Below are 27,053 nucleotides of genomic sequence, written 5' to 3'. Positions count from 1 at the left end.
AAAACAGGACTGCCCCACTCTTCCTGGTCTGTAATCCCCAGTGACCATGACCATTTCAGGATTTGAGCCCAGACAACTCCCGCCACTTCCTCTAGCGACTCCTGAGTCAACATGGTGGGCTTTCTTTGTTGAACTCACTCCAACCCTCCCTTCTCCAACTTGGGGGAAATTTTTGGAGTGGGGGATGAAATTAAGAAAGCAAGAAAAAGAGGAGGAGATTAGCAGGGTGGAAGTTAGACAAGCACAGATGCTACCACCTGCTGTTGCAGCTTCTCAAGTGCTTGTTGACTCCCTGGGAGCATTTGCCTTGAGTCTGTTTAACAGTTAATTCCAGGGGAAGGGGAGGAGAAGGAGAGCTTGGGGACAAAGGGCCTTTGACCAGCTCCTGGAAAAGCATTGATTAGTTTGCTCAGGTTGGCAAACAGCAACCGGGGACTTGGGGCCCAGGGATGAACTGGGTGGATTTTCTGCCCAATGACAGCATCCAGCATAGGGGAGAGGGAGTCAAGGCAAATAGTCAAAGGACTGATGTGCCAGAGGTTTAGACATAGAGAGAAAAACCACACTGGGCGAGAGGACAGGGGAAGGGCAGCTGGAACCTGGAGTTCCAGGCTCTATCATACCTGTTAGTGATAAACGAGCCATTCCAACCCCTTGGACTATCCCCCAATTTCACTTCCTTTCTGAAGCTGAGAGGCAGAGGAGAAGCATATCGAGATAGGTTATTCTGAGGTGCTTCTGATGGCCAAGGGCAAGGAGGACTGGTGTGGTGCTTCCAGGCAGCTGTTGAAAGTAACACAGCACAAGCACTTCCAATCCTGCAGCCTGGCCTCTGTTCCAGGAGGCTGTTTCCTGAGAGGTGGCTTCATCATCTTTTCCAAGCCTTGCCTTCCTTCACTCAAAGAATTAGAATGGCCCTCTTTTTTTGTGTCAACCTGTGAGTAATGCCTCCCTGGGAACTTCTCCTTAGCTTCCCCTTCATTCCACCCTCAAAACTCTTGTCTTCTTCCAGGAAGCTTCCAAGATAAACACACAGTGCACATGTATTGACTTAGAATCATAAACCCGCACAATTTAGAGTTGGGAGGTGATTAAATATTATAATTATATATACTATAGCTTTATGCCATTCTATTTTATATTCATGGGACATTGCTTTGTATTGTTCTTTTATCCTGTTTCCTAAAGGTAAATCCCTAAATGTAGATATGATTTATCTATTCGTTTATGTGTTTGTTTACTCTCTCCCACTAGCATGCGAGCTACATGAGGTCAAGGATTTGTCTGTCTTGTATCCTCTTGTGCCTACAACAATTTCTACCACATAACAGACACTCAGTATATACTTGTTTATGTACATGAATGCTGTTGGGATGGTGGTTTCTTTTCCTGCCCTCCCTATAAAGACACAGAGTTTGGTATATTTCAGGGTGCATAGTGGATGCTTCTGAATAAATGAAAGAATGAATGAAAAGAATAAATGATTGTATGAGTGCATGAATGAGATTTTGAGTGAATGGATTGGCAACCCTTAGGCCATCATGGTAGTTGGCCTGTGTATAGGAAAATGCTCTTCAGTTGTTCATGTTTTCTTAGCTACTGCCAGGGTGGGGCTCATTAGCAGAGCAAGGTGGCCTCATCTCCCTGGATAGGCTCTGAGTCAGCTCATATCTAGCTTTATAAAGAGGAGAGTGGTGTGGAGTTTTATCTGCTCTCTCTGGCCATTCTGTGCCCCCTTGACTTTCTCTCCTGTACGCTATCTGACCTTTCCGTATCTACTGACTTCTCTGTCATGTGGGTATGAAAAGAGTGTTTTTGAAAGTATTTTTGCCTCTATTTTGCTGCTACTTTAAAAAGAAAAAAACCTCTTTATTTTGGAAATAGTAAAATGAATGCTATAGTGAATGAATCCCAGAGATATTCTTAGGGTATATTGTCTCTGTGCTTATGCCAAAGTTGTGACAAATGCAATTATGGTATCATCAAGCAATTTTAAAAAGAAAAAAGAAACAGAGGGATCTGCTTTAAATTTTAGTTTTTTCATAGGTTGCCCTGAACTATGATTTCTCTGGAGTGACAAGGAAGAGAAGAGAGACATCTTTATTGGATATCTATTATGTGTCAGCTCCTATGCTAGACTGTTTATATATATTATGTTATTTCAGAAAGAGGGTGAACAAATTAGATCCATGAGTCAAATAATATCAACTTTTAGTGAGTACCCACCATGTGTGAGAGTATATAAATATTCCATAGGCCTTGTTCTTGAAATAGGAGCTGTTGACAAGATAAGTTATAAACTTGGGAAAAGTAAAATAATAAGGCAAGAGTAAGATAATATTTTGAGCCAGCAATTGCAAACTCTGATGGTAGAATTTTTGTTGCTGGAGGAGACTGGCCTAACATCTTAACAACAGACAGAAAAAAGGAAATATGAAGGGGCGGGCTAAACAACCTGCCCAAGATTTTGCATGGTTATCTGTAGAGCTGGCAGCAGAGCCCAGGCCTCCAGTGCCCACCACTTTTCATATTGTAGTTTTGAGACATCTCCGGATAACTGTGGAATGACCCACAGAGATAGTTCCTGGTATCATCATTCAAAGGAGGGGCAGTCACTTCAGGCTAGGGGGCACAGATCAGGGCAGGATTCAAGGAGAAGATGGAAGCTGCTGTGTCCTGAAGGGTGGTTTGGGTTCAGATATATTAAACAGGAAAGGAAGGCTTTCTAGAATGGGGAAATGGCATAAACAGGCCCAGAGGTAGGAAATGAGTAATTTTGTATACTGGAGTCTTGGCATTATCATTACCTGCCAGCTCTGACCACCAGGACCCTGGGAGCCATGCCCCATGCTTTCCTATCTTCCAGCTGTAGGCTCTGCCCCCTTCTTTCTGTCTTACCTCTGCTGTATGAGTCCTGACCCTGATAATTTCTCAGCTGCTCACTCATCTCGCTACCTCCATTTCCATTCCACTTTTCATACAGCCAAGAGTTCCTTTTCCAGAACTTGGATATTACCGTGTTAAAAAACCATTCAAGCCTGGAGCAGTGGCTCATGCCTATAATCCTAGCACTTTGGGAGGCCGAGGTGGGAGGATCACTTGAGGTCAGGAGTTCAAGACCAGCCTAACCAACATGGTGAAACCTCATCTCTACTAAAAATACAAAAATTAGCTGGGCATGGTGACATGCACCTTTAATCCCAGCTACTCAGAAGGCTGAGGCAGGAGAATCGCTTGAACCCAAGAGGCAGACATTGCAGTGAGCCGAGATCACGCCACTGCACTCCAGCTTGGGCGACAAAGTGAGACTCTGTCTCAGAAAAAAAAAAAAAAAGCCATTCAATACTCCCAATTGCTTGCCAGATGATGTCCAGCTCCTTAGTGTGTGATTGGGTCATGACTTAACCTCACCTGTCACCTTTCTGGAGGTACCTGCCTCTAACTTGGTGGAGTGCACCTTACAACCTGAGCATCCATGCCTGTTCGTGGCTCCAGGCCTTCACACAGGCTGTTCCCTCCCCTGGGACTGTCCCTCCTCCCACCCCTTTGTGCCTGCCAGCCTGGCTTCCTTACTGTCTTTTGTTTGACTTATATGTATTGAATACATACTAAATGCACCCCCTGCTCACTCCCTGCAGGTTAGTTGTTTTCCCCTCTGTACTCCCACAGCCCTCTACTTTAATTATTTGGATATGTCTGTTTCTTCCATTAGCCTGAACTCAATTCTGAGAGGGATTTTCCTTTATTCATCTTCATATCACTAGCACTTACTGCTTTTGGCTTGGCATATATAATAGATAGTCTAACTGTTGTGTTGAAAATAAATGAAAGAAGAGTTAAGTCTTGAGAGATAGGCTGAATCTATTGAATATCAGGCTGGGAAGTTGGGATGCAGTTTCTCAAAAACTAGACTACACATTTAAGCTCTTACACACCTCAAGAGCTTATTAAGAATTCACAATCTGGGGCACATCCTTTTATATGCTGATAAGAGTGGGCCTGGACATTTTTGTTATTGTTGATTTAAATAATTTAAATAATAAGCTCCCCCAGGGATTCTGAACAGCCTGCCTGGCGCCAGTCTGTAGACCAACCTTTGAAAGCACTGTGTCATGAACCACAGCAAATACATTCTGGGCATTAACTCAGATACTCCTCTTTTTTTTTAATTTTTAATTTTATTTTAAGTTCTGGGGTACATGTGCAGGATGTGCAGGTTTGTTACCTAGGTAAACGTGTGCCATGATGGTTTGCTGCACTTACCAGCCCATCACCTAGGTATTAAGCCCAGTATGCATTAGCTATTTTTCCTAATGCTCTCCCTTCCCCCACCCCACCCCCTGACAGGCCCCAGAGTGTGTTGTTCCCCTCCCTGTGTCCATGTGTCATTGTTCAGCTCCCACTTATAAGTGAGAACATGCAGTGATGGGTTTTCTGTTCCTGCATTAGTTTGCCGAGGATAATAGCTTCCAGTTCCAATCATGTGCCTGAAAAGGACATGATCTTGTTCCTTTTTATGGCTGCATAGTATTCCATGGTGTATATGTACCACATTTCCTTTATCCAGTCAGACACCCTTCTTAAGCCTTTGAATGACTCAACTGAATGCTTCAATTCAATCTCCTTAGGGAATAAATAACCTGGATTTAAAGTACATTCCATTCTAACGTTCATATCCCAGTTCTTGAAGTTCCTTTTGCTGTTGACTTCAGGGGAGACCCAGGACCAAGCCAGATTTTACTCATGGTGCATGTACTTCCTTTCTCCCTGCTGCCAGGCTGTTTGCTGTTAAATGTGGGGGCTGCTTCGAGGCCATCGCTCCCAATGAGTTTGTTATGCGGGCCCAGAAGAGTGTATACCACCTGAGCTGCTTCTGCTGCTGTGTCTGCGAGCGACAGCTTCAGAAGGGTGATGAGTTTGTCCTGAAGGAGGGGCAGCTGCTCTGCAAAGGGGACTATGAGAAGGAGCGGGAGCTGCTCAGCCTGGTGAGCCCAGCAGCCTCAGACTCAGGTGAGTGCCAGGTGGTGGGCAGGGCTGCGGTGGGGTGGGTAGAGTGGAGTTGGGTGGCTGTCTGCATTGTTTCTTCCCTAGATGGCCAGCCTCCAGGGCAGCCTAGCTCCATGGCAAGGCAGTTCTGTGTATTTCAGGAACTTTCTTTGTAAGCTCAGAGTAATCTCTTATCAGTCAGTGATTACCATGACAATGGTGCATAACAAATTACCCTCAAATTCCATGGCATACAACCATAAACACTTCACACACACACAGAAATGTCCGGGTTAACTGGAGTTAACTGGACTTTGCTTCAGGCTTCCAGTTAGCTGGAGTCTGCTGATCTCAGCTGAGCTTAGCTCCAGCCTGTAGACAAGGTTTAGGTATACTCTGTGCCATTCATTCCAGGATCCAGGTTTGGGGAACAGCAGCTGCAGGGCATGATCTTCTGACAGTGGTAAAAGTGCAAGAAGGCATGCCCAACCACAGAGCACATTTCAAGCTTCTGCACACATCATGTCTGCTAATATTCCATGGGCCAAAGCAAATGGCAATATCAAATCCAAAGTCAAGAGGAGGAGAAATATACTCCATGCACCACAAACCCTTGCCCAGGTATAGATACATAATACTATTAAAGAGGATGATGGATTGGAACCAATAATTCAGTCTACCACAATCACTGAACTGCCCTAAGCTTTTGTTTCCTCATTTGTCAAGTGGGAAAGATGGAATCTATCTAAGGCTTGGCAGGTCACATAAAGAAAGGCACTAGAATGATTTCGTTCTTTCTCCTCACCACCCGCTCGACCCTCCCTCTTACTGCCTTGAGGGTTGGCGAAAGAGAGGAGACAGGCGAGGTTAAGAGATTTTATAGGGCAGGTTTCACAAGGTCAGAGAAATTACATTAAATTAACACTGACTACATTAAACATGGAATGCCTTTTTGGAGTGTTGGTCCCCACAGCTCAGCATTCATCTTATCCATAGGAATCTGTGAGATCCAATTAGGTAACATCTATGTGACCTTACTAGTTCTTGCCATTGCCAATTCTAGTCCATTTCCAAGCCCCCTGTAACCTCACTCTATCCATCCCTTTGGCCTCTTTGGGAGTTTCTGATCACTCCCACCCTTCACTCCAGCCTTACTAGGCCCTAGCACCTGTCGTTGTGTCTCATCTACTCTCAAATCTTAAAAGTCTATTCCTTTTCAGCCTCTTTCCCTCTCTCTTTTGTCCTGCTAGCTTATCCAAAAGGCAACTTTATGGGGAAGGTCTCTTAATCCCTCATGCTGGGTGAGTTTACCCTTAACTTCTCCTACTGGGATATTTACTTCATTGTAGTTACATGTTTGATTGTTTCTTATTCTTTTCAGAGTGCTAAACTGTGTGAAGGACAGTGTATGTCTTATTTACCACTATATTCCCAGGTCTAGCACAGGCTGGGACACTGGGTGCTTGATAAACTCTTTGTTAAAGAGTGAATAAACACATGAAGAAAAACCATTATGGCATGGTGCTTAAGTGCAAAAGCTTTGGAGACAGACAAGTGGGGTGCCTTAGCCAGGTTATATCACTATATCTCTGTGACTTTGGGCAAATTTTGGAACCTCTCTAAGCCTCAATCTCCACAGCTATAAAATGGTGATGATCATACCTACTAATAGGTTTATTGTTGGAGAATGAGAGAGAATGCATATAAAAAGCCTGGTGTTCAATAAATGTGGGTGCTTAACATCCACTAGTCAGTGTTAGCATCTTTGTAGCAGCCGTGTTCGGCTCCCTTTACCTCCAGGTTAGTTCTTGCCTGAACTTGCTTGCAGCCTTAAGAAAGCTGGCATCAGGAAAGCCCCAACTTCTACTGGTCTTATTGGCCTTAGGTTTTCCTGGATTTATTTTGATTTGAGGGAAATTTCTCCTTGTCAGGAACACTGGCACTAACATATGGAGTATCTTCTTCAGGGGTAGTTGGGCCCATTCTAATGGGTATACACTTGGTATAGAAAGGCCAATTTACCCTGTCATTTTCCTCCAGGTATCTTGCTGTGTCCGCCCTCTTAGGCTTCCTCCTCAAAATCCTGTAGAATTTCGAATTTCCCAAGGGCTTAGGTGTTATGGTGATTAGAATACAGCATCATCATAGAAAGATGTATATACCCAGAGGGACATACTGTGCTTTCTCACATGGAAATAAATGCTGTGGTCTAGCCTTTCATGATAAACATTTGTCTGGAGGCTTAATCACTAAGTTATACAGTTGGACCTATGTTAACGGTTTACAGATTTTACTTCACTAGAAAATCAATAAGAGGCATTAGTGGATTGGCTCCACGCCCCTAACCCTGCAAAAAAAAAAAAAAAAAAAAAAAAAAGAAAAAGCTGATCTGATCTAAGTAACATTTACAGATTAATAGAATTATAATGCTCAGTACCAGGGAACTGCAACAGGTTCACTTTCTGATCACATTTTCAGCAATATGTTCAGTTATGGAAATTTCTCTTTGAGGCTGATATTGACATATTGGAGCTTTCCAGTTTATTCATTCATGTATTAATTCAGTTGACATATCTTGAGTGCTTGTATCATGCCAGGCACAGAGTCAAAATATGAATGACAAGAATGATGTGGGGATGGGGAGGTCCCAAAACCATATCAAATGAAGGAATTGTGTATGTTTAGGATAAAGAAGTCAAGACTGAATGAGGACATAATTGTTGCCTTCAAATGATTAGATCAGACCTATTTTTTTCCAGTTTCAGAGAACAGATTTAGAATTCATTCATTTAATTATCCAACAAAATTACTGAGTGTTTACACTTTAGATAGAAAGGTACAGGGAAGTAATTTTTGATTTAACACAGGAAATGCTAGAATGTCGTTCTAATTATTAGATCTAACAAAGAGTAAAACTACTCAAGAGATAGCACTCCCTATTCATTGAAAGTAATATTGATGAGGTGGGAGGGGAGGGTAGTTCTAGAAGACCTCTGTTATCGCTTTCAACTCTAAAAATCTATAATTATTGTTGTAGTTTTAAATGAAGTGACATTAAAGCCTCAACCAGAATCAAATATCTTATCTGAACTACTCATTTCATCAATTATATCAATGCTGCCTGTCTTGTATCATAAAATTTTCTGTGTGCCAAAGCTTGCCTCTCTACTGAGAGGACAAACTTCTAGAGAACAGGGTTGTAGCTTTTGGTTGCTTTGTTTCCTTAACAAAGCTTAGCATGATGCCAAGAGAAGAGTAAGTGATCAATAAGTACCTAATGAATTGAATTAAATCTTCATGGAATGAAGTCCATCTCATTGTTAACAGAAAGCAAACAACTTTAGGATCTGCCTCAGTACAAATACAGTTTATCCTCTGGTTTCTGTCTTGAGCACCTTACGTATATATTGTAGGTGTTTGATAAGTGTTTGTTGAGTGAATGACTGATCTAGTATCCTTAACCTTTTTATCAATGACTTGGATGAAGACACAGAAGGCAGGTTTATTTGGTTTACAGATGACACAAACCTGGCAGGGAAGGCTGGTGTGGCAGTGGATACTCCCGATGTTCAAAAAGATTTTGACAAGCTAGCAGAACCGCGCAAAGACAGCAAGATGAAATCTAACCATTGTCTCCCAAAATTCAATTGTAATTGTATGAAATAGTGCCTGTTTTGAGGGAATTCCACATGGGGTTATAGTGGGCAATAAATCCAATAGGAGCCAAAAAGACATGCTGCATTAATAGAACTACAGTGTCCCTAATGTGTAATTATAGTTTCAGTATTTTTTTTTTTTTTGCCCTGGTCAGAGCACATTTAGAATATGTGGGCTAATTTTAAATGATGCATTTGAGGAGGTCATTGACGAACCAGAGAGAATCTTGAGGAGAGTAATTAGCTTGTTAAATCATAAATAATTAAAGAGACTCAGTATATTAAGTAAAAATAAGGCCAAGGAACATATGAGAGTCACACCCAAGGTTGCCGACCCATGTACTGGGGAAGAAATGACAGATTTTGGTTCAACGTAGGGTAGAACTGTGTCTGATAAAGGGTCAAACTGGATTGCCTTTATGGGAAATAAACTGCTTGTCCCTTAACATTTTAATTGCAGTTGGTGGAAGACTGCATCAATGACCTCTAGGGTGGCTTACATCTAGGATTCTAGAGGGAGGAAGGAGAGCGGGGGGCAAAGGTTGAAAAACTAACTCTTGGGTACTGTGCTCATTACCTGGGTGATCAGATCACTTGTACCCCATACCTCAGCATCATGCAGTATACCCATGTAAAAAACCTGCACATGCATGCCCTGCATCTAAAATAGAAGTTGAAATTATTTTTTAAAAAAGAATCTATGGTTCTGTGATGCTGACTGATCTTACACAAAAGCATGTGACACGTTCACAGCTACATGGGATACCAAACTCAGGACATCTGCAACTGCTGTGTGCCCTTTTCTGGTGTGACCCAGCCTTTTTGTCCTGGTCCCTGCTTTGCTGATGGCCTTGAAGCAGCCTCCCAAGCAGATGAATGGAATTTGTAGCCAGAGTCAGATGATTTTTTTTTTTTGACACTGGGCAACTTGGATGCCCAAGGTCTCCAGGAGAGACTCCCCAACATTTACAAACTTCTAGAGAAGTGTCTAGAAGAGCTCTTTTCCTTCACCAGAGAATCACGAGCTCTTGAGATTGGTAGACACTTTGGAGTTTATCCAGTCCAAGTTCCCATCAGATGCTTATCCAGTCTCTACTTGGTCATTTCCCATCATGGAGAGCTAAAGAGATAGAGGGGAAAAATAAAAAATTGCTTTTTCTCCTCTCTGCTCTCCACTCCACATGACACTTCTGACACCAGCTGTGTAGGGGTTTTCCCCACATACCAAGCAATTCTCCAGTGGACACCAGCTGGGTATCCCTTAATTCAATTTAATTCTGACACTGTCTACCTAGAGGTAACATCAGATCCCACAGGTTAAGAGCTTGATCCCACAAGACTGCCAGACCCCACCCCGCTTAAGAGGCCAATCAATCACAAGTAGTAGGTTGTCAGCTATATTTCTAACTCACTGGCTATAAATTGCGGATCCTAGGACCTCATCTTCAGGTTGACTAAATTTTCTAGAGCAGCTCACACTTTACTTACATTTACTCATTTACCACAAAGCATATTTTAAAGGATACAGATGAACAGACAGGTGAAGAAATTCATAGGGCAAGGTATGGGGGAAGGGGTGCAGAGCTTCCATGCTCTCTCTGGATGCACCCCTCCAGGAACCTCCACATTTCAGCTATCCAGAAGTTCCCTAGCTTTGTCCTTCTGAGTTTTTGTGGGAGTTTTATTACATAGGCAATGATTGATTACATCATTACCCATTGGTGGTCAGCTCAACCTTCAGCCTCTCTCCCCTCCCCAGAGGTGAAGGATTAGGGGTTAGGGGCTGGGGCTGAAAGTCCCAACCTTCCAATCATGCCTTGGCCTTTCCAGTGACCAGCCCCCATCCTGAAATAACCTAGGGGCTCCCAGCTACCATTAGCCAACAAAAGATACTCTTATCACTATGGAGTGTTCAAGGATTTTAGTAGCTTTTTGTCAAGAAACTAGATGAAGACCAAATATATATTTCACAATATCACAGGAGCCCTTGACTTCAATTCTGGGGGTAAATTGTCAGAACTGTTACATTGAATTCCAACATCGGTCTCCGTATGTAAACTCAAACCATGGTCTTGGCCGTACTTTCGGGAACTCACAAAGTAAGTGTTTCCTCTACATGGGGCAACCCTTCAAGTTCAAGACAGAAATGCTCCCTAAGATGTAAGATATTTTCTAAGTTTTGTCTTTTCCTTTCTAGTTCTTCCTCATTATTCTAACTAGCCCTCATTACAGACTTTCTGTTTTCTATCTATGAAAATACTACGATCTTTTTCAAAGGTACAACCAAGAAGGGGATACAGTTTTCCTTATGTGGTTTGAACCAGCACAGTGTTATTGCTGCCTGTCATAGATATTATGTTCTGTTGATGTAGCCCATGATTTCATTAGCTTTTTTGACCTGGGGGCGGAGGCAGGGGCTTGGGGCCTGGCTGTGGGTAACCATGGCTTCTGGCTGGTCCATGTTGCATTTCTTACTTATCTACCCCTCTTATCTTTACATTTTCTTTTAAAATCAGAAGTCGTCTGAGAGTGTCCTGTGAAGCAGTTTTTAAAAACTTTTAAAAATAAAAATGTTTTTTAAATTTACAAAACAGTTGCAAAATAGGACAGAAGTTTCCATATACCCTTCATTCAGCTTCCTGTAATGCTAACATTTTACATAACCATGGTACACTTATCAAAACTAAGAAATTAACATTGGTATAACCCTCAACTGAACGATAGACATTATCCCATTTCATGAAATTTTTTCATTAATGACTTTTATCCATTCCAGAATTGAATCCAGTACATCGTGCTGCAATTAGTTGTTTTATGTTTTTGTTTTGTTTTTTTTTTTTTTTTTTGAGGTGGAGTTTCGCTCTGTTGTCCAGTCTGGAGTGCAGTGGCGCAATCTCGGCTCACTGCAAGCTCCACCTGCCGGGTTCACGCCATTCTCCTGCCTCAGCCTCCCAAGTAGCTGGGACTATAGGCACCCGCCTAAATGTTATCTTTACATTTTCTTTTAAAATCAGAAGTCACCTGAGAAAAAATTAGCCCAGCTAATTTTTTTTTTTTATTTTTAGTAGAGATGGGGTTTCACCATGTTAGGCAGGATGGTCTTGATCTCCTGACCTCATGATCTGCCCGCCTCAGCCTCCCAAAGTGCTGGGATGCAATTAGTTTTATGTTAAATTGCCTTCCTTTTTTCTTCATTTTTGGAATCACTGAAAAATCTTGAGTCAGAATTTCATTTTTGCTATCTCAAACAATATCTTTATTTCCTTTTAGTGTCTTTTATCATGGGATCCAAATGCTTTTTTTTTTTTGCTTTTTTATGTATCATTTAAAATTTTTTCTTCCTGAAGACCAGTTTGCATTTTAGATTATGCCTAGGATTTATTCCTTGGCTAAGGCAAGGCTCTTTTAGGTGCTCTGCTTTTGTAGAGGGATTTTCCCAGAGGAAGCCTGGTTGTGAAGTCCCTGTCATGAGGGCCCCTTTCTGCAAAGAATGTTTTATGTTTTGGATTAACGCAGCAGTTCCATAGCCTCCGTTTATTGGGCAGTCTGAACTGCTCTGCGAGGCTTATGCTGCTTCACTCCTTGTGTTCAGCATTCATCTGGCCCTAACATGGTGCCTGGCATGCAATAGGCACTCAGTAAATGTTTGCTTATTGTGTGAATAAATTCACTTTGTCCTGTTCATATTGGCCTCTGATGTCCTTGGCAAAGAAGCATCAACTTCCAGTGTAACTTTTCTTCTCACCGAAGCCAGAAAGAAGATTCCTCACATCTGCTGGAGTCTGTGAATCCTTCTTCCTCCTAATTTTCTGTGGGATATAGGATGTTTTGATTTGGAAGATCCAAATGCCTCGCTTGCCACTCTCATTGTGTAATACGTCTCTTTCTCCTCTTCTGGGCCATGCTCTCCACTGCTCGTATTTAGACATTTGTCTTAATTTCCTTCTACAACCTTGGAACTGTTTTTTTCAATTCGTTACAAAAGTATTTCATCTACCCTGTCTTGTAAATCTTCTTGTTCTCCAATAAATTAGACTAGAGAAGCAGCAGTTAACTCACAAATTCTAGAAAATGCCCAACTCTTCTCTGGGATTATCCTTGTCAGTTCATGGTCCTGAATTTTCCAGTGAAAGATAGAAAAGGTCAGCAGAAGTTATGAGGAAGTCTCATCCTCCGTATTGTAGTGCATAGGATCTAAAGCTAGACAGGTCTTTGATGCTTTCCCTACACTCACAAGCAGTGTGACTTTGAGCTAGCCACTTCTCCTCTCCAGGACTCTATTTCCTAATCGGTAAATAGGGGGTTACAATACAGCCTTTGTGGGTTGCTGTAGAACTAAAAGAGGTAATGAAAATCAAGGGCTTGAAACTTGATCAATGTCCAATAAATGACAGTTACCATTATCATCTCCTAGTGTGAGAGCCAGTGTATTTATGGATGGCTCCTGGGTCATAAGTTTATTTTACCAAAGATCCATCATTTTGCAAGTATCTCCTCTTCTGTCTTTGCTCTTTGGTTTTAGGCACTTATGGATAGCATACCTGGGGCACCTCATGGTGGTACAGATAGGGCCTGTCATTTTGGGTGGCTAGGGTGCATAAAGTAAAGATGGGCTGATTCATACCATGGGGCCTGTGTGTCTCAGAGGCACTCTCTGGTTTCTGAACATCCTAGCTAGCTAGTGTTGCATCCTGGAAAGTCAATGCAGAAGACTGGGGGAAAAACAGTCTTGAAGTTACTTCTGAGATTTAATAGAAATTTCAAGCAAGAATGGGAAGGATTTATCAAACGTAGCTACCTTTCTTTAATAGACCAGAAAACTGATGCATACAGTGGTCATTATTTGAGCTATTTTAAATACCTAAGTGCCTCCTTATTCCTAAGCGTTACACTTCCTGGCATATAGTTATCCTGGGGATGGAGCTCTCTGTGCCTCTTGGTTTGAGGGTGATGGTATGTCTCCCATCTTTAAATGAGTTGCTTTCGGAGTCGACTTGACTTTTCTCTTGCAACTGGAGTCTTTGAGTCCAGAAAGGACATTGAACCTGACAGTTAATGAATGCAGTGTACAGCTGAGCCAGAGTTACTCTATTCCTAAGTAGGCCTGCTAGCATTACTCTGTTACATGCCATAATCTATTTATGTCCTTCCAGGCGGCCACCTGACCAACCTTTAATTCAACAAATATTTCTTACAGACACCCACACTGTGTTGGACTCTGTGCTGAATGCTATGTTTTAGTTGCAGAAAAAGAAAGGCAGAGGAATAGTGAATGCTGAGCAGCACAATTGAGAAAAACATCTCAAAGCCAACATCTTAATGTCAGGGGAACAGGGGCCAGCTTTGTGATAGAAAGGAGCTGGCAGATGGGAAAAGGGACATAGCTTGGAGATCAATCTAGCCATTCTTCTTTTTAAGAAGCAGAAGGGTAAGCCACTTTAAAAAGAAAAAAAAAAACCTTGAGTAGGTATTTAAAAGTACTCTGCTAAACATATTTGTGAAGAAATATATTTAAATCATATTTTACATTTTCCTCTAGAGTCATGTTTTCAAAAGACTCTATGGTAGCACTTTTCAGAAAATCTTAAAATACATTTTTTATCATAAGCTAGTATACACATTTATAGGTGTGTATATAAGTTTCAACACTTAGACTGACTTGCTGATTGCCCTATGTGCTGATATTGTCTATTCCATTTATTTTTAAATTCTATTTTTAGCCCACTGTAGTAATTTCATAAGCTACTCATGGGTCATAACAGAAGTTTGAAAAACACTGCTTCAAAGCACAATTACTTGCAAACCTATTCCCACGTTTTGGAATTGGTATAAATTCCTTAAATGTCAAGCCAATAAATACGTCTTAATGATACTTACTGTGCCAGGTGCTGTGAATAAGACAAAAGGCACAAATGATATCATCTCTGGGCCCAAAGGCTTGGTGCAGTGGCCTGAATACAGTAAACATGTAATAACTGTTGTCTATTTTTATTGTTGTTATTCTTATTAAGGAGACATCAAGAGTTCACATATTTATATCATGACTAGTACAAAGGTCTTCATGAACATTTCCCGATTTATTAATCTGGCATCTCTGGATGATAGGCAAGAAGCACTTAGAACTGCCTGAGCCTTTCAGATTGTTTTCAAAATCAACAGATTTGTCTCTTACACAGTATCACTACCATAAAATTCACTACCGGAATTGTTTGTTGCTCTTAGTTTGAGGCTCAGCATTTCTTTTCTATGCTGAACTTTTGTCTTCTAGTGTATTTGTTTTGTCTTCATAAAGTAGATGGAGAAATAAAGACACAGGATACTTGAGCCAGGGATAAGCCAGAATAAGAACTTAATTCTACCAATTACCGAGTCAGGACACTTGATACTGAAACAGAGGGGTTCAGTCCTTGCTATAATTATGAGTTGGGTAAAGTTTATCTTTAGTGCTTAAAAAGTTAGAGGCAATATACAGGTTCAGACAATGCATTGTCCTTTTTACATTGACCATACTTTATTTTTGAAAATGTGTTCACACAATAATTTTGATTAAAATGAATAATGAAAACCATAAGTTAATATTTGTGCAGTTGCTTCACAGCATATTTAATCAGCAATAGTGTGTTATCTGTGTGCATTCATTTCTCCTGCTCCACCTCTGTAAAAAATAAAATTGGCCAAATGGGAAAATGATCACATCATGATTTTTTCATGATGATGATGATAATGATGTCAACAATTATTGAGCTTTTACTCTGCACAAAGCATTACTTTAAATTATGCATTTTACATGAATTATTCTGCACACCAAGTTGATGAGGAAAGCAATGTTATTATTTCCGTTCTACAGAGGAAGAAGATGAACATGGAAAAGTTAGTAATTTGCTTACAGTCCTACAGCTAACAATGGAAAGGACCAGAATTCACATCCAGTCTAGCTCCAGCACCTGCATCATTAAACACTATGCTGTGTTGCCTGGTCATTTAAAACGTACATGTATATGAAAATGAACCTTATGTTTTGTTCTCAGGTTTCACTGACAGCTCTTTCTGGCTGGCTATGGCAGTGCTCCAGGTACTCAGTAGGACTTACTACCTGAGAGACCCCAACTGAAGGACCTTTTCATATATAATTAAAGCGATGAAAACAAGGTGATTTGAACTGAGTTTACACACGCGTTCAAAATCAGTCACAAGTTCACCTTGCTTTTAACCTCCAGTTCCTCCCTAATCATTAATCACTATCACTATACTTCTCATGGGTACCTCTTCTAAGGCAATAGGAGGCTTTGAAGGATCTAAAGACAATGTGCTATATGAATGAGGAAGTACTTTAAAAGTGCACGTAAGGTACTATTACTGATTTTTTGTTTTATGTTTATAATTATTCAACAAACTCCTGGTTCTTCTGCTCCTGTGGCTTATTTGATAGTAGTAGGAAAAATCAGTTGACTTTTTGTCCAGATGAGAGGTATCAGCTGTGCAAACCACAGCCCCCATCAATCAAATGAATAAAAGCACGACAGTGAAGTAAATTGGTACATATCAAAACTTCTTCTAACGTGCTTCTTCTACAAGCTGACCTGTAATGTCCTACCATCTTTTACAATTGTACTCTTCAGAGAAATGAACTCAATTTTGTTTTTCCAGTGGCAATGATGACAATGTGCTTCTGTCTATCCACCTTTACATTGGGTCCTCTTTGGGTACAATGATGGGGCAGTATGACTAGTAAATTTTAGGATTGCATTCTCTGGACATGCAGAGCCAACCCATGACTTCAGTCTTTCATATCTGAGCTAAATGACCAGGGACTCACTTTCTATTGTGTAATAAGGATCGGGGAGGAGGTGCAGGGAAGACACTGGTTTTCTTGCACTGACATTCCAGCCAAGCCTACCAACTTTAGATTTCCATCAAGAGGTTTCAAGATGGATCTGAAGATGCTTTAGACAGTTTACTGAGCAAATGGAAGAATCACCTTCAATATTTCCCTGTGCCCTGGTTTCTGTGACCAAGGAAAACCCTCAAAGTCCAGTTTACTAAGGATTGGTGGCAAACTAGGTACTCTGCTATTTGGTGCTGTAAAATTATATTCGAAACTGGGTAATTTTAGAACCATCTGGATTCTTAGTGTTCCAATTCCAGGTTTGCACGCTGGAACCTGGAGGCATGCTTGGGTTTTTTTGTTTTGTTTTGTTTTTGTTTTTCTGATTCTGATCAGGGATTTGCATATTGTGTGTGCATGGGTGTGCTAGGTGGGATCAGTGGATCCAGATGGTGTTCAAGATGGAGTGTCCTTGGGAGGCCGAGGCGGGCGGATCACGAGATCAGGAGATCGAGACCATCCTGGGTGAAACCCCGTCTCTACTAAAAAATACAAAAAAATTAGCCGGGTGTGGTGGTGGGCACCTGTAGTCCCAGCTACTTGGGAGAGTGAAGCAGGAGAATCGCTTGAACCCAGGAGGCGGAGGTTGCAGTGAGCTGAGTTCGTGCCACTGCGCTCCAGCCTGGGCGACAGAGCGAGACTCCATCTCAAATAAATAAATAAAGATAGAGAGTGTACAAGCATTCCTTCTTAGGAATCAGTGAGGGTGGGAAAGCAGTGACTGAACTAACTCAGCATCTGTTCCATCCATAGGAATTTGCTGAGCATTTACATTGGGCAAGGATTAGGTTTGGGGTGTGGAACACATAGAAGTGTATGAAGTTTGACTAGCAAGCAAATACTTTTGAGTACAGAGTATGTAGCAGTCCTATTGTAGGTGCTGGGATGATACCTCTGCTCTCACACAGCCTACATTCTTGTAGAAGGAAACCATCAATAACTAAATAAATGGATAAACAATATTATATTCTTGAGTTACCCCTCAAAGTATTTACCCTATAAGACTTGTTCTACTTATGTACTAAAAAAAAAAAAAAACTTTGAACTCCTGTGGAATAGACCTTCAGGGATTTAATGGTCTGGGGTGCAGCCTGGGATTTTTTTTTTTTTTTTAAAGCTTCCTAAGTGAGTTAATGTGCAGCAGGCTTGAGAGCCATTGCCCCAGGAGAAGGCGAAGCTCAGAGGGATGGAGTTGAAATACCTTAATCAGCCATTCTTCCAGTTGCAGAGCCTTGGTGCTGAACCACAGAGACTCGAGTTAGAAGAGAACGCAGTATTTTGCTTAGAGTGAGCAGGTATAGTTAGGGTTGTGAGAGGCAGCAAACACAAATCCATGTGTAAGAATAAACAATGAATAATATTTTTGTATAAGTGTGTCCCATGCAATACAGAAATTATTGTTTATTGGAAATGCAAATTTAATGATGTGCCCTGTATTTGACCCGGCATCTCTAGATATGGCAAGAATCTGGCAGGGGTGGGGGAGAGAGAACCCACAGTGTGGTGATTGGTGGTGGAGCCTGCAAGCCTGTACGATAGATTTTTGTTTGATTGATTTATGATAGGGAAAAAGAAATGTAATTCTGTCCCAAGACACCCGTGTTCCCAGTACCCTATGTGCGCGGGCTTGGCCCTAACCCAGCACGCGGAGGCTTCCCTCTCCCCAGCCTTAGCGAAAGGGCGGCGGGTGGGAATCACCCGTTACCTTGGCAACTCCCTCCTGCCGTCTGCTCACAACAGTTTGAATTACACCCCTGCCAGGCAGTCACCAGTCCGATTTCTTTCCTTTCTAGCTCTCGTTTTCCCTCTCAGCGCTCAGGCTGGGGGCGGCGTCGGTGCCAGTCTAGTCCAGGGCGAAGCTTCCAGGGCCGGCTCGGGCCGGGCTGCGGGACCCGCCGTGGAGCGCAAAGTGCCTGAAGCCCCCGCGCGCATTCGGCCCTGTCTTCAAAGGCCCCTTAGAAATGCAAGAGGCCAGGCGCAGAAACACACACGGACGGCAGTTTTATGAGAAAATGCAGATAAAGAGCCCGGCGGTAGGGCCATATGTTCCCCATAATCTCCAAAGCCGTCACTTCAATTAGAGCCTCCCCTGAGTTCTAATGCCCAATCCTGAGTAAACAAGCCGCTCTGAAAGAAGAACTCGGTTTCCAATTAAAAGTGTACTAACATTTCTCCTTCCTTTAATTCCCGCGGAGCAAAGCCCCGCGCGGGCGGAGGCGAGGCCAGGTCGCGGCGAGGTCGTCCCGGGTCCGCGCCGCCCCGCGCCGCCGCGCGTTCCCAGGTGACGTCAGGCGGGCCCGGGATTAGGGCCCACCCTGCGCTCCCCGCGCCGCGCCGCAGAGTTAATTAAAAGTAATGCCACGGTAAATCCAAAGGCTCTCCGCTGGCGGAGCCGCGCCTTCGGGCCAGCCTGCGAGAGAGGGCTTTCCGAGGCAGGTGCTGGGGATTTATTTGTGTGTGAGTGTGAGTGTGTGTGTGTGTGTCCGCGCGAGCGCACGTGTGAGCGCTTGTGCTGAAAGGGAGAGTCCCCTGGATTTTTTGGAGACCGAGATTGCCTTCCCTCTTTCGCTCATGCCTCCAGCCCTCCTCGCACATGCACTAGTGAAGAAACGCACGGACACCGTCGCTACCTGAACCCTGATTTCCTTTGGACTGAGCTGACTCCTGGTTTGGTCCTAGCTCCCGGGTCTTCTGGGTACTGTGCTACAGATACCATCGACTGCATCGCCCCCTATACGCTCTAACTGTCTCTCCTTCATGCCCCAACCTTGAGAAATCTAAGGGCGTAAATAAATGGTGGCCAGATGCGAGGTGATTTAAATATCAGGAAAGCAGCTGAACACCTCCTGGCATTCTTTAGGAGCTCTTTAGAGTGCTGAATCTGAACATTGCAGGCCCTTCGACCTCCACATTATGACATTCAAAAAACTTGCTTTCTATGAATGTTTGCTGTTCAACAGGACTGGTTGAAAGTCGCCTGGTTTCAGATGGGAGAATGATTGTTAGATTAACTTTCTGGCCTACTCTCTATACCATGAAAGAATCAAAGAATTGAAGCCATTATCTGAAAAATTCCAGAAACATCAATAAGCAGAAAATCCTCACTAGATCATTCAAATGCAAATGGTTTTCCTTCTTTCATGAATTATCTACCCAAGTAATTACTTTAGTTTTTAGTTTGGCCTTGGCGGTGAAGACCTCAGAGAATTAGTCTCACTAAGTCCATGGCTGTTTGTTTATTCCTTACTCTCTGATTGATGTTAACTAAATTAAATTGAGGCCAGTTCAGCAAACATTTTGAAAGCCCGTCTATATCTGTCAGACTCTGGGTTAGATACTAGTGATTACAAGAGCAATGGAAACCACCTCTCTTTTCCAGACCCCCAGGTTCCTCAGGGGATAAGAAACTCCTATAATAAAATAAAATATACATTAATATTATCGTAGAGATATAAAGTGCTATGAGATCATAGAGTCTGGCGCAATCATTCCTCTTGGGGTGTGTATATGTGTATTAGGGCAAAGGACTTGGAACTATTTAGAAAAGGTTTCACAATGGGTATGAAACTGTAACTAGGACTTGGCAGAGTAGGTAACTTGCCGGCGATGAAATGAAAATGAGTATGTTGTTAGAAAATGCAGCTTAGTCTGTACTGAGTTGCAGGGTAGGGTTGTATCCAGGCATGAGAGGAAGGGCTGGATTGTAGTGTTGCTCTGGAGCACTGAGATCCTGGTGTGAGTGAGAGTAAGATTAACGCCAAAATGTGAAGGATTTTGTATATCTTATTTGAATATACTCTGATGGTTGTGGAAAGTCAGATCAGAAGTTTGTAAACAGGATTGTGATGTTATTCAGTCTGTTTTTTCAAAAGAGGAGTGGGGAGGATGGATTGGAGTTGGGGTAACATTGCAGGCAGGGAAAGTGGGCAGGAGACTATTGCAGTGTTCCAAGTGAGAGATGAAGGTTTGAACAAAGGCAGACCTTAGAGAGGGGTTTCAGAGAATTTATTCATTCATTTATGCCTTCAATACTTCGTGAATCCCTACTAATATGTCAGGCATCATTCTAAGTGCTGTGGACACAATGATGAACAAAACAGGCAAAGCACCTGCCCATCAGGCAGCTTAAATTCTAGAACTTAAATGACTATGAAATACAGGAAGAGTGGTTGAAGTTGAGGATGACTGAGAGTTCTAAATGTTATGAACAGTGTTGTTAAAAGAAGAGATAGAATGTTCAGAAAAGAACCAGGGATCTAGATAAAATTCGGGTGGGGCATGCTGAGTTTGAAGGTTCTTTTGGACCATGTGACTGTAGATGTTTGGTGGGCAGTTGAACACATAGATCTGGGATTTAAGGGGGAGGTCAGATGTGAATTTGGGAATCACAGAAAAGCTGAGGGTTTAAAACTGGGTAGTTTTTCTTTTTCTTTTCTTTGAGATGGTCTCCTTCTGTCACCCAGGCTAGAGTGCAGTGGCACAATCACTTCTCTCTGCAGTCTCAACCTCTTGGGCTCATGCAATCCTCCTGCCTCATACTCCTGAATAACTGGGACCACAGGTGTGTACCACCATGTCTGGCTAATTTTTAAATTTTTTGTAGATACTGGGTCTCCCTGTGTTTCCCAGGCTGGTCTTGAATGCGTAGGCTCAAGGAATCCACTCACCTTAGCCTTCCATAGTGATTGGATTATAGGCATGAGCCGCCGTGCCCGGCCAAAACTGGGTAGTTTTAAACCAGTGTCTCCATGGATGCAATTGTGTGAGTCTTCATGGCTATGGGAAAACAAACTTGTGAAGCTTGGATGGGACAATATATATAAAGTGTTTATGGTGGGGGTTGTAGGGCACAAAGTAAGGGTGCAATAAAGGGAATTCATTATATACATAAGTATTGGGACTTCTGCTGGTCCGTTCAACATCCTATTCCTACACCACCTAAGGAGAGTTAGGAAGTCCAAGAAGTGGAGACACTCCAAGGACATCTTCCTGACTCACCAAAGTGCCCTTTTCATATGGTTGGGAAGCCACATGTTAGGTTGCTTGACAGTGATGCAAGGAGTCACAGCTAGCTTTTCCTAATCTAACAGCTGGGGTGTGACCAGAGGGAGTTTTGGTTCTTGAAGGAGGGACAAAGGACTCCAGACACAATCTCTGCCAAGTGGAATGTGCCAAAGGGGGTGTGACATTAGTTCCAGCACATTCCCCAAGAATTGGTTTGGATCTGTGTGTATGAAGCAGGCAGTTTATATCCAATTGTGTTTATTTTCTTCTTATATGACCAGCTACAACATAAGAAGCTCCTCATCTTTGTAGAAGTGTGTGCTTTCCTGAAAGCAGACCAGGTAATGATGCCAGAAGCCTCTTCCTCTGAAAAAAAATATGGAAATGTTCACCTTCCTCTACTTCCCCCTTTGCCTAGTGTCTCATGGCTCTCCAGAATGCTGTATGCCTATTCCATATTACATGTAAGGGAGATCCATTGAGCCCTGGTTTTCCCTTCAAGAGGCTGATAAAACCATGCAATGGCATTTTCTGGTGCTTTTGCAAAATTTGAGAAAAGGAATGGAAAATGCTTCCCTCTCTTTGATGAACTCTGGGTCTCCAAGCCCAGACACAGTAACTTCCAAAGGAAAGGGCTCAGGACAGGGATGTAGATCTCCTTCAAAGTGGCAAGGTTCCCCTAAGCTTCTCCATACCCTGGTCTGGGGCCCTTTGCTGCTCCAGCACAGGGATGCATCCGCAGCCTTCCCTGCTCTGTGGACCTTGAGGCTGGTTTCACAGAGCTAATCTCCAACCCGGTACTTCACTTTTTTTGACCTTGGGTATACCCAAGCACCATGGCACATCCTTGTGGGACAGCAGAAAGAGGGTTTTCTCTTTTCTTGTCTGATAGAATGCTCTCAAGAGTACCTTGCCAGGTGCATAAGACACACTAGTTTCAGTCCGTGTGCTCTCAATGCATTTGGATAGTCTGTATAGGCGAATTCCCAGGAATCGCAGATTTGTAATCATTAAGTTCCAAAAAGTTGAGATAAACTTGCCTGTGAGTGTTTTAAGTGTTAGAATACTCAAATTATAAGCTTTAGAATTTAGATTTTTTTTTAGAACAGGTAAAAATAAAGGTCTGTTAAATGAGTTTACATCGGGGAGAAAGGATTAGTCAGATAAAATAACAACAACTATAATTTTGCACCAAACACAGGTTCATGGGAACCAAGTTAACTAGAGTTCTCAATTAAGCAGACTATATAATTTAAAACTCTCTTCTAGTATAAAGAAAAGGATTAATCAGAACATAAAGTTGTGAACATAACATTGGCTCACATCTGCAATTCCAGCTCTTTGGGTGGCCAAGGCTGGAAGGTCACTTGAAGCCAGGAGTTCCAGACCAGCCTGGGCAACAAAATACAAAATTAGCCTGGCATGGTGGTGCATGCAGGCTAATTAGTCTCAGCTACTCAGGAGGCTGAGGCTGTAGGATGGTTGAGCCTAGGAGTTCAAAGCTGCCATGAGCTATGATGGCACCACTGCACTCCAGCCTGGGTAGTAGAGTTGCGACCCTGTCTCCAAAAATAAAAATAATAAAAAAAAAAAAACTAAGCCAGTTTCTAAGATTTGTTTTAAACAACACCCTCAAAAAAGTATTTTCCAGAGTTAGTCCTAATCAGCCCAATCTCTTATACTTTCTACATGTGCAGTTATATAAAGCAATTGCTTTGTTAAGACAGTGCTTCTCATGACCCATCAAAAGATTGAGAACCATCACTTAAAAATAAATAAATAAATAAATAAATAAAAATTTTAAAAAACCTAATTATTTCTACAAGCTCTAGTTAGTGAACCAGGGAGGTGAAATAATTTACTTTAGGAAATGTTTTATTAACAAATATTCAGAGTGTTAGTGCTCCACCCTCTGAGTTGAGTGCATGGAGTTAATGATCATACCCCATTCCCTGGGCAGTGGGCAAGAGTTCTCCAGTCTGCTCAGCAGGACCCTGAATTGGAACTGCTGGGGCCTTTCTCCTCTCGCCACCTGTGACAGACACTTGGAATGGGGAAGGAGCACTGGACCTGAGCCAAGAGACTTGAATCCTAGATTTGGGGGCTGCTAAGTAGGCATGTGATCTTGGATAAGCTCCTTTCCTTATCTGTGACTCAGTTTCCTATCCGAGGAAATGTGAATGTGAAATTGTTAGTCTAGATGCTCTCCAAGTTTCTTTATTCTCAGACGCTGTGCTGTTTTCCAGCATGTTGCAGCAAGGGGCAGCTGGAGGGTAAGTCAGACATCCACATTCATGTAGAGATTTGTGAGCAATGTGGCAGGGCAGTGGAAACCTGTTGGTTCCGCTTACCTCAGCCCAGAGTTAAAGTTATTGTCTAATATGTAGGGATGTTCCTGCCACCAGGAAAAATAAAACTTGAGAAGTTCATCAGAGAATATTAAGACACAGATTACTATCTAGATAGCAAACTGGGGGGGTTTCCTTGGGCATTGCCTAAGTGACAGCTCCTAGAGCTATCCATGTTAAACCACTATAATAAAATTAAATTAGACAGAAATCATTATGCAAAAAGAACATAAACTGAGAGATTTCTGTTCATCATCATAAACACCTTCTCAGAAGATTCCTGTTTTTGTCTGCTCAGGCTGCAATAACAAAATACCATAAACTGGGTGGCTTATAAACAACTGAAATTTATTTCTCAGAATTCTTGTCGCTGGAAGTTGGAGGTCAGGGTCCAAACACTGCTGGGTTCTGGAGAGAACCCTCTTCTGGGTTTCAGATTGCTGATTTTTCCTTGTGCTCTCAAGTGGCAAAAAGAGAATGAGAATGCTCTCTGGAGTTCCTTTAAAAGGCCACTAAAAGCATTCACGAGGGTTCCCCCATTATGACCTAATGACCTCCAAAGGCCTAACCTTTTAAAACAATCACATTAGAGCTTAGGATTTCAACCTATGAATTTCAGGGAGACACAAACCTTCAGTCCATAACAGTCTTGGTCTGCATTTCCCAATGTAAGCATTATTGGCATTTTTGGTGAGGCAAGTTGCTATATTGCATCTACGGCCCCCCTCCACTAACAACCAGAAAAAAGAGCCCTCATGTATTTACAGATATCCCTGAGAGACAGAAAACAACAACAACAACAAAAAACAAAAAAACAAAAAAACCCTCCTGATTGAGAACCAGTGTTCAATTCAGTGATCATAACCAGGAAGCAGATTTGTTAATATTTTCTCCTTTCATTTGTAAACATAGATGATTGTGTTGAAAGGAATCTAAGACATCATTTATCACAACTCCCTCATTTCATAGCTGAGAAAATTGAGGTTAAGTGCCTTGTTCAAGACCATGTTGTAGTAACTGGTAGAAGTAGGTTTAGTATCAGGCTTCCTCCCACCCACTGCGGGGCTCTTGTGCTGCCTCATTTGGTGTCATAAACATGGCCAAAGAGATAGTTGGGAACACGTGAAGGAGTTGGGACTAATAATAGAAGTGACGGGGGGGCCATCTATAGCTTCCATTAATAAATGCTCTCCCCAAGGTCCTGAATCTTGGGGTTTTCTAGATGAGCAGTCTCTTAAGCAGTTTCTCTGTTTAAGAGGACTTGGGTACCTTAAGCAGAGCTGATGCTCTATTTCATGTTCTAAGACACTTTTTTGGGGTTGTGTTTTAATGTATCCAAAATTGAGATCTGATTCACAGTTGATGTGGTGGGAAGGCATTGTATCAAAGTTTAAATGGCCACATTTTTTTCATTTCTTGGTGGTCCATAAAATAATGACATATTTTATAAATTAAAGGCAGCTGATATTTGATGAAATCTGATAGATCACTTTCAGAACAGGCTGCAGAGATCATTTCTATTTTAACTATTCCTAGAGGTGATGCAACACGTGGAAAAACCTGTCTCTTTAATTGTTTGGTCTATATATGACACAGCAGTACAGATAGTGGAGACAAATTGAAGAGCAGCTCTGCAAGCAAGATGATAAGGTATCCAGTTCCTCTCTTTGGTCCCTGGAGTAAGTTTCCTTTAAAGTCATTTCTGGCCTCTGGTTTTTGCATGTGGCCTCCTGGATCTGGCCATGGTGCTGACTGCTCGTAGAACTTTAGTACTAATTTCCAATGAATTCTAGACCTAAAGCCTAAATCCTGGGGTGAATGTTTGCCATGTCTTATTACCTAACTGCTTCTCTAGGATAAGCCTTACAAAGCTAGGTTCAAGGAAGATAACAAAGAAAGTGAGAAGATGATTTGAGCTAACTTAGTTTTCAATATGGCTAGTGAAATCAATTGCATGGAGGTGCTTACCTGGCAAGTGAAGGGACTGTTGCCCAACCTGTGAAATCCTTTGTCACCCTGAAGAACTAAATCATCCTGGGGCCAGCCTGGGGAGAAGACACAACTGTTGACTTTTAGAACAGAGAGAGTTTAATACAGAGAAGTGATTAGATGGCTGATGAGGTTGTTGAGATGCAAACGGACCAGGTGAGAAAATCTACAAATTAGCAACAAAAGAAAGCTGCTACTACCTGCTAGCTGAGGGACAGAGTGAGGAAATGATGTAACTGCTGCAGGCATCTGGTGGAAGCTGGAGCTGCAGTGGGCCTGTCAGGTATGAGCTGGTGCCATGGAGGAGCTTCAGCAGGGCTATCTAAACTATAGCACCGTTCTCTCCAAAATAACATCCATCACTACTGACTTCTCCATCAGTCACTGTTTTCAATCTATGCTTATCACTTTTCACTGTTTAAATTTTATTTAGATTCTAAAATGACTTAGATCATGCTTTACTTTTTTGATATATCTTCTCCAAATAAAGGCAAGTTCCACAAGAGTAAGAGGTCCTGTCTGTTTAATTCACTACTGTATTCCCAGAACCTAGAATGACAGTTGCTACAACATTATGTGGAGTAAGTAAATGTTTGTCAAATGCACGAATGAAGGAATCTCTTTAAATGATATTGTAATTATCTGCTTGTATGACTATCTCCCTAGCTTGTGACTAAAGAAAGTCTTTTTCCATTTCCTTCCTTTTGTTTTAAAAAAACAAAAACCAAGACTTTTTGGTATTTGCTCATATTAATAAGACCCTTTTGCATAGGGTATATAATATTACTTAGCTGTGATGAAAAATATTAATAATTTGAATTTCTTGAATGGATACTATGGTGCTCAGTACAGGAAGCTGAAATTTGGGGAAAATAAGTACTTTTTTCCCAAAACAGCCAGCATTGAATTCCAGGTTTCTCTGACTCAAAGCTCTAGACTGCTCTTAACCATTTCCCTCTGTTGGCTCTGCATTGTATGTATGTATGTATGTATGTACGTATGTATTATTGAGATAGGGTCTCACTCTGTTGCCCAGGCTGGAGTGCAGTGGCTCAATCTTGGCTCACTGCAGCCTCCACTTCCTGGGTTCAGGTGATTCTCTTGCCTCAGCCACCCAAGTAACTGGGATTACAGGTGTGTGCCAACATACCCAGCTAATTTTTGTATTGTTTTTAGTAGAGATGG

General features: G+C 42.1%; 1 protein-coding gene across 4 annotated transcripts in view, besides 1 other annotated feature; it reads left to right on the top strand.

Annotated features, from left to right (window-relative positions):
* Positions 1–27,053, top strand: part of LMX1A (LIM homeobox transcription factor 1 alpha) — a 154,849-nt gene that overhangs the window by 102,298 nt on the left and 25,498 nt on the right. For all 4 annotated transcript variants that reach the window (NM_177398.4, NM_001174069.2, XM_011509538.4 and 1 more), the window contains one exon: positions 4,778–5,010. In NM_177398.4, coding sequence (NP_796372.1) covers positions 4,778–5,010 — 233 coding nt within the window. The remainder of the gene's footprint in view (positions 1–4,777; positions 5,011–27,053) is intronic.
* Positions 9–581: an enhancer, noted in NCBI's record as "NANOG hESC enhancer chr1:165223074-165223646 (GRCh37/hg19 assembly coordinates)". NCBI's record gives its function as "activates a minimal SCP1, AML or CMV promoter by ChIP-STARR-seq in primed H9 embryonic stem cells {active_cell/tissue: H9 hESC(primed)}" and the evidence as "EXISTENCE:reporter gene assay evidence [ECO:0000049][PMID:30033119]".

The sequence above is a fragment of the Homo sapiens genome, chromosome 1 (genome assembly GCF_000001405.40).
Source record: "Homo sapiens chromosome 1, GRCh38.p14 Primary Assembly".
In the NCBI taxonomy this organism is placed as follows: domain Eukaryota; kingdom Metazoa; phylum Chordata; class Mammalia; order Primates; family Hominidae; genus Homo; species Homo sapiens.
Note: the sequence above shows the minus strand (reverse complement) of the source record. Positions and strands in the feature narration are given on the sequence as shown.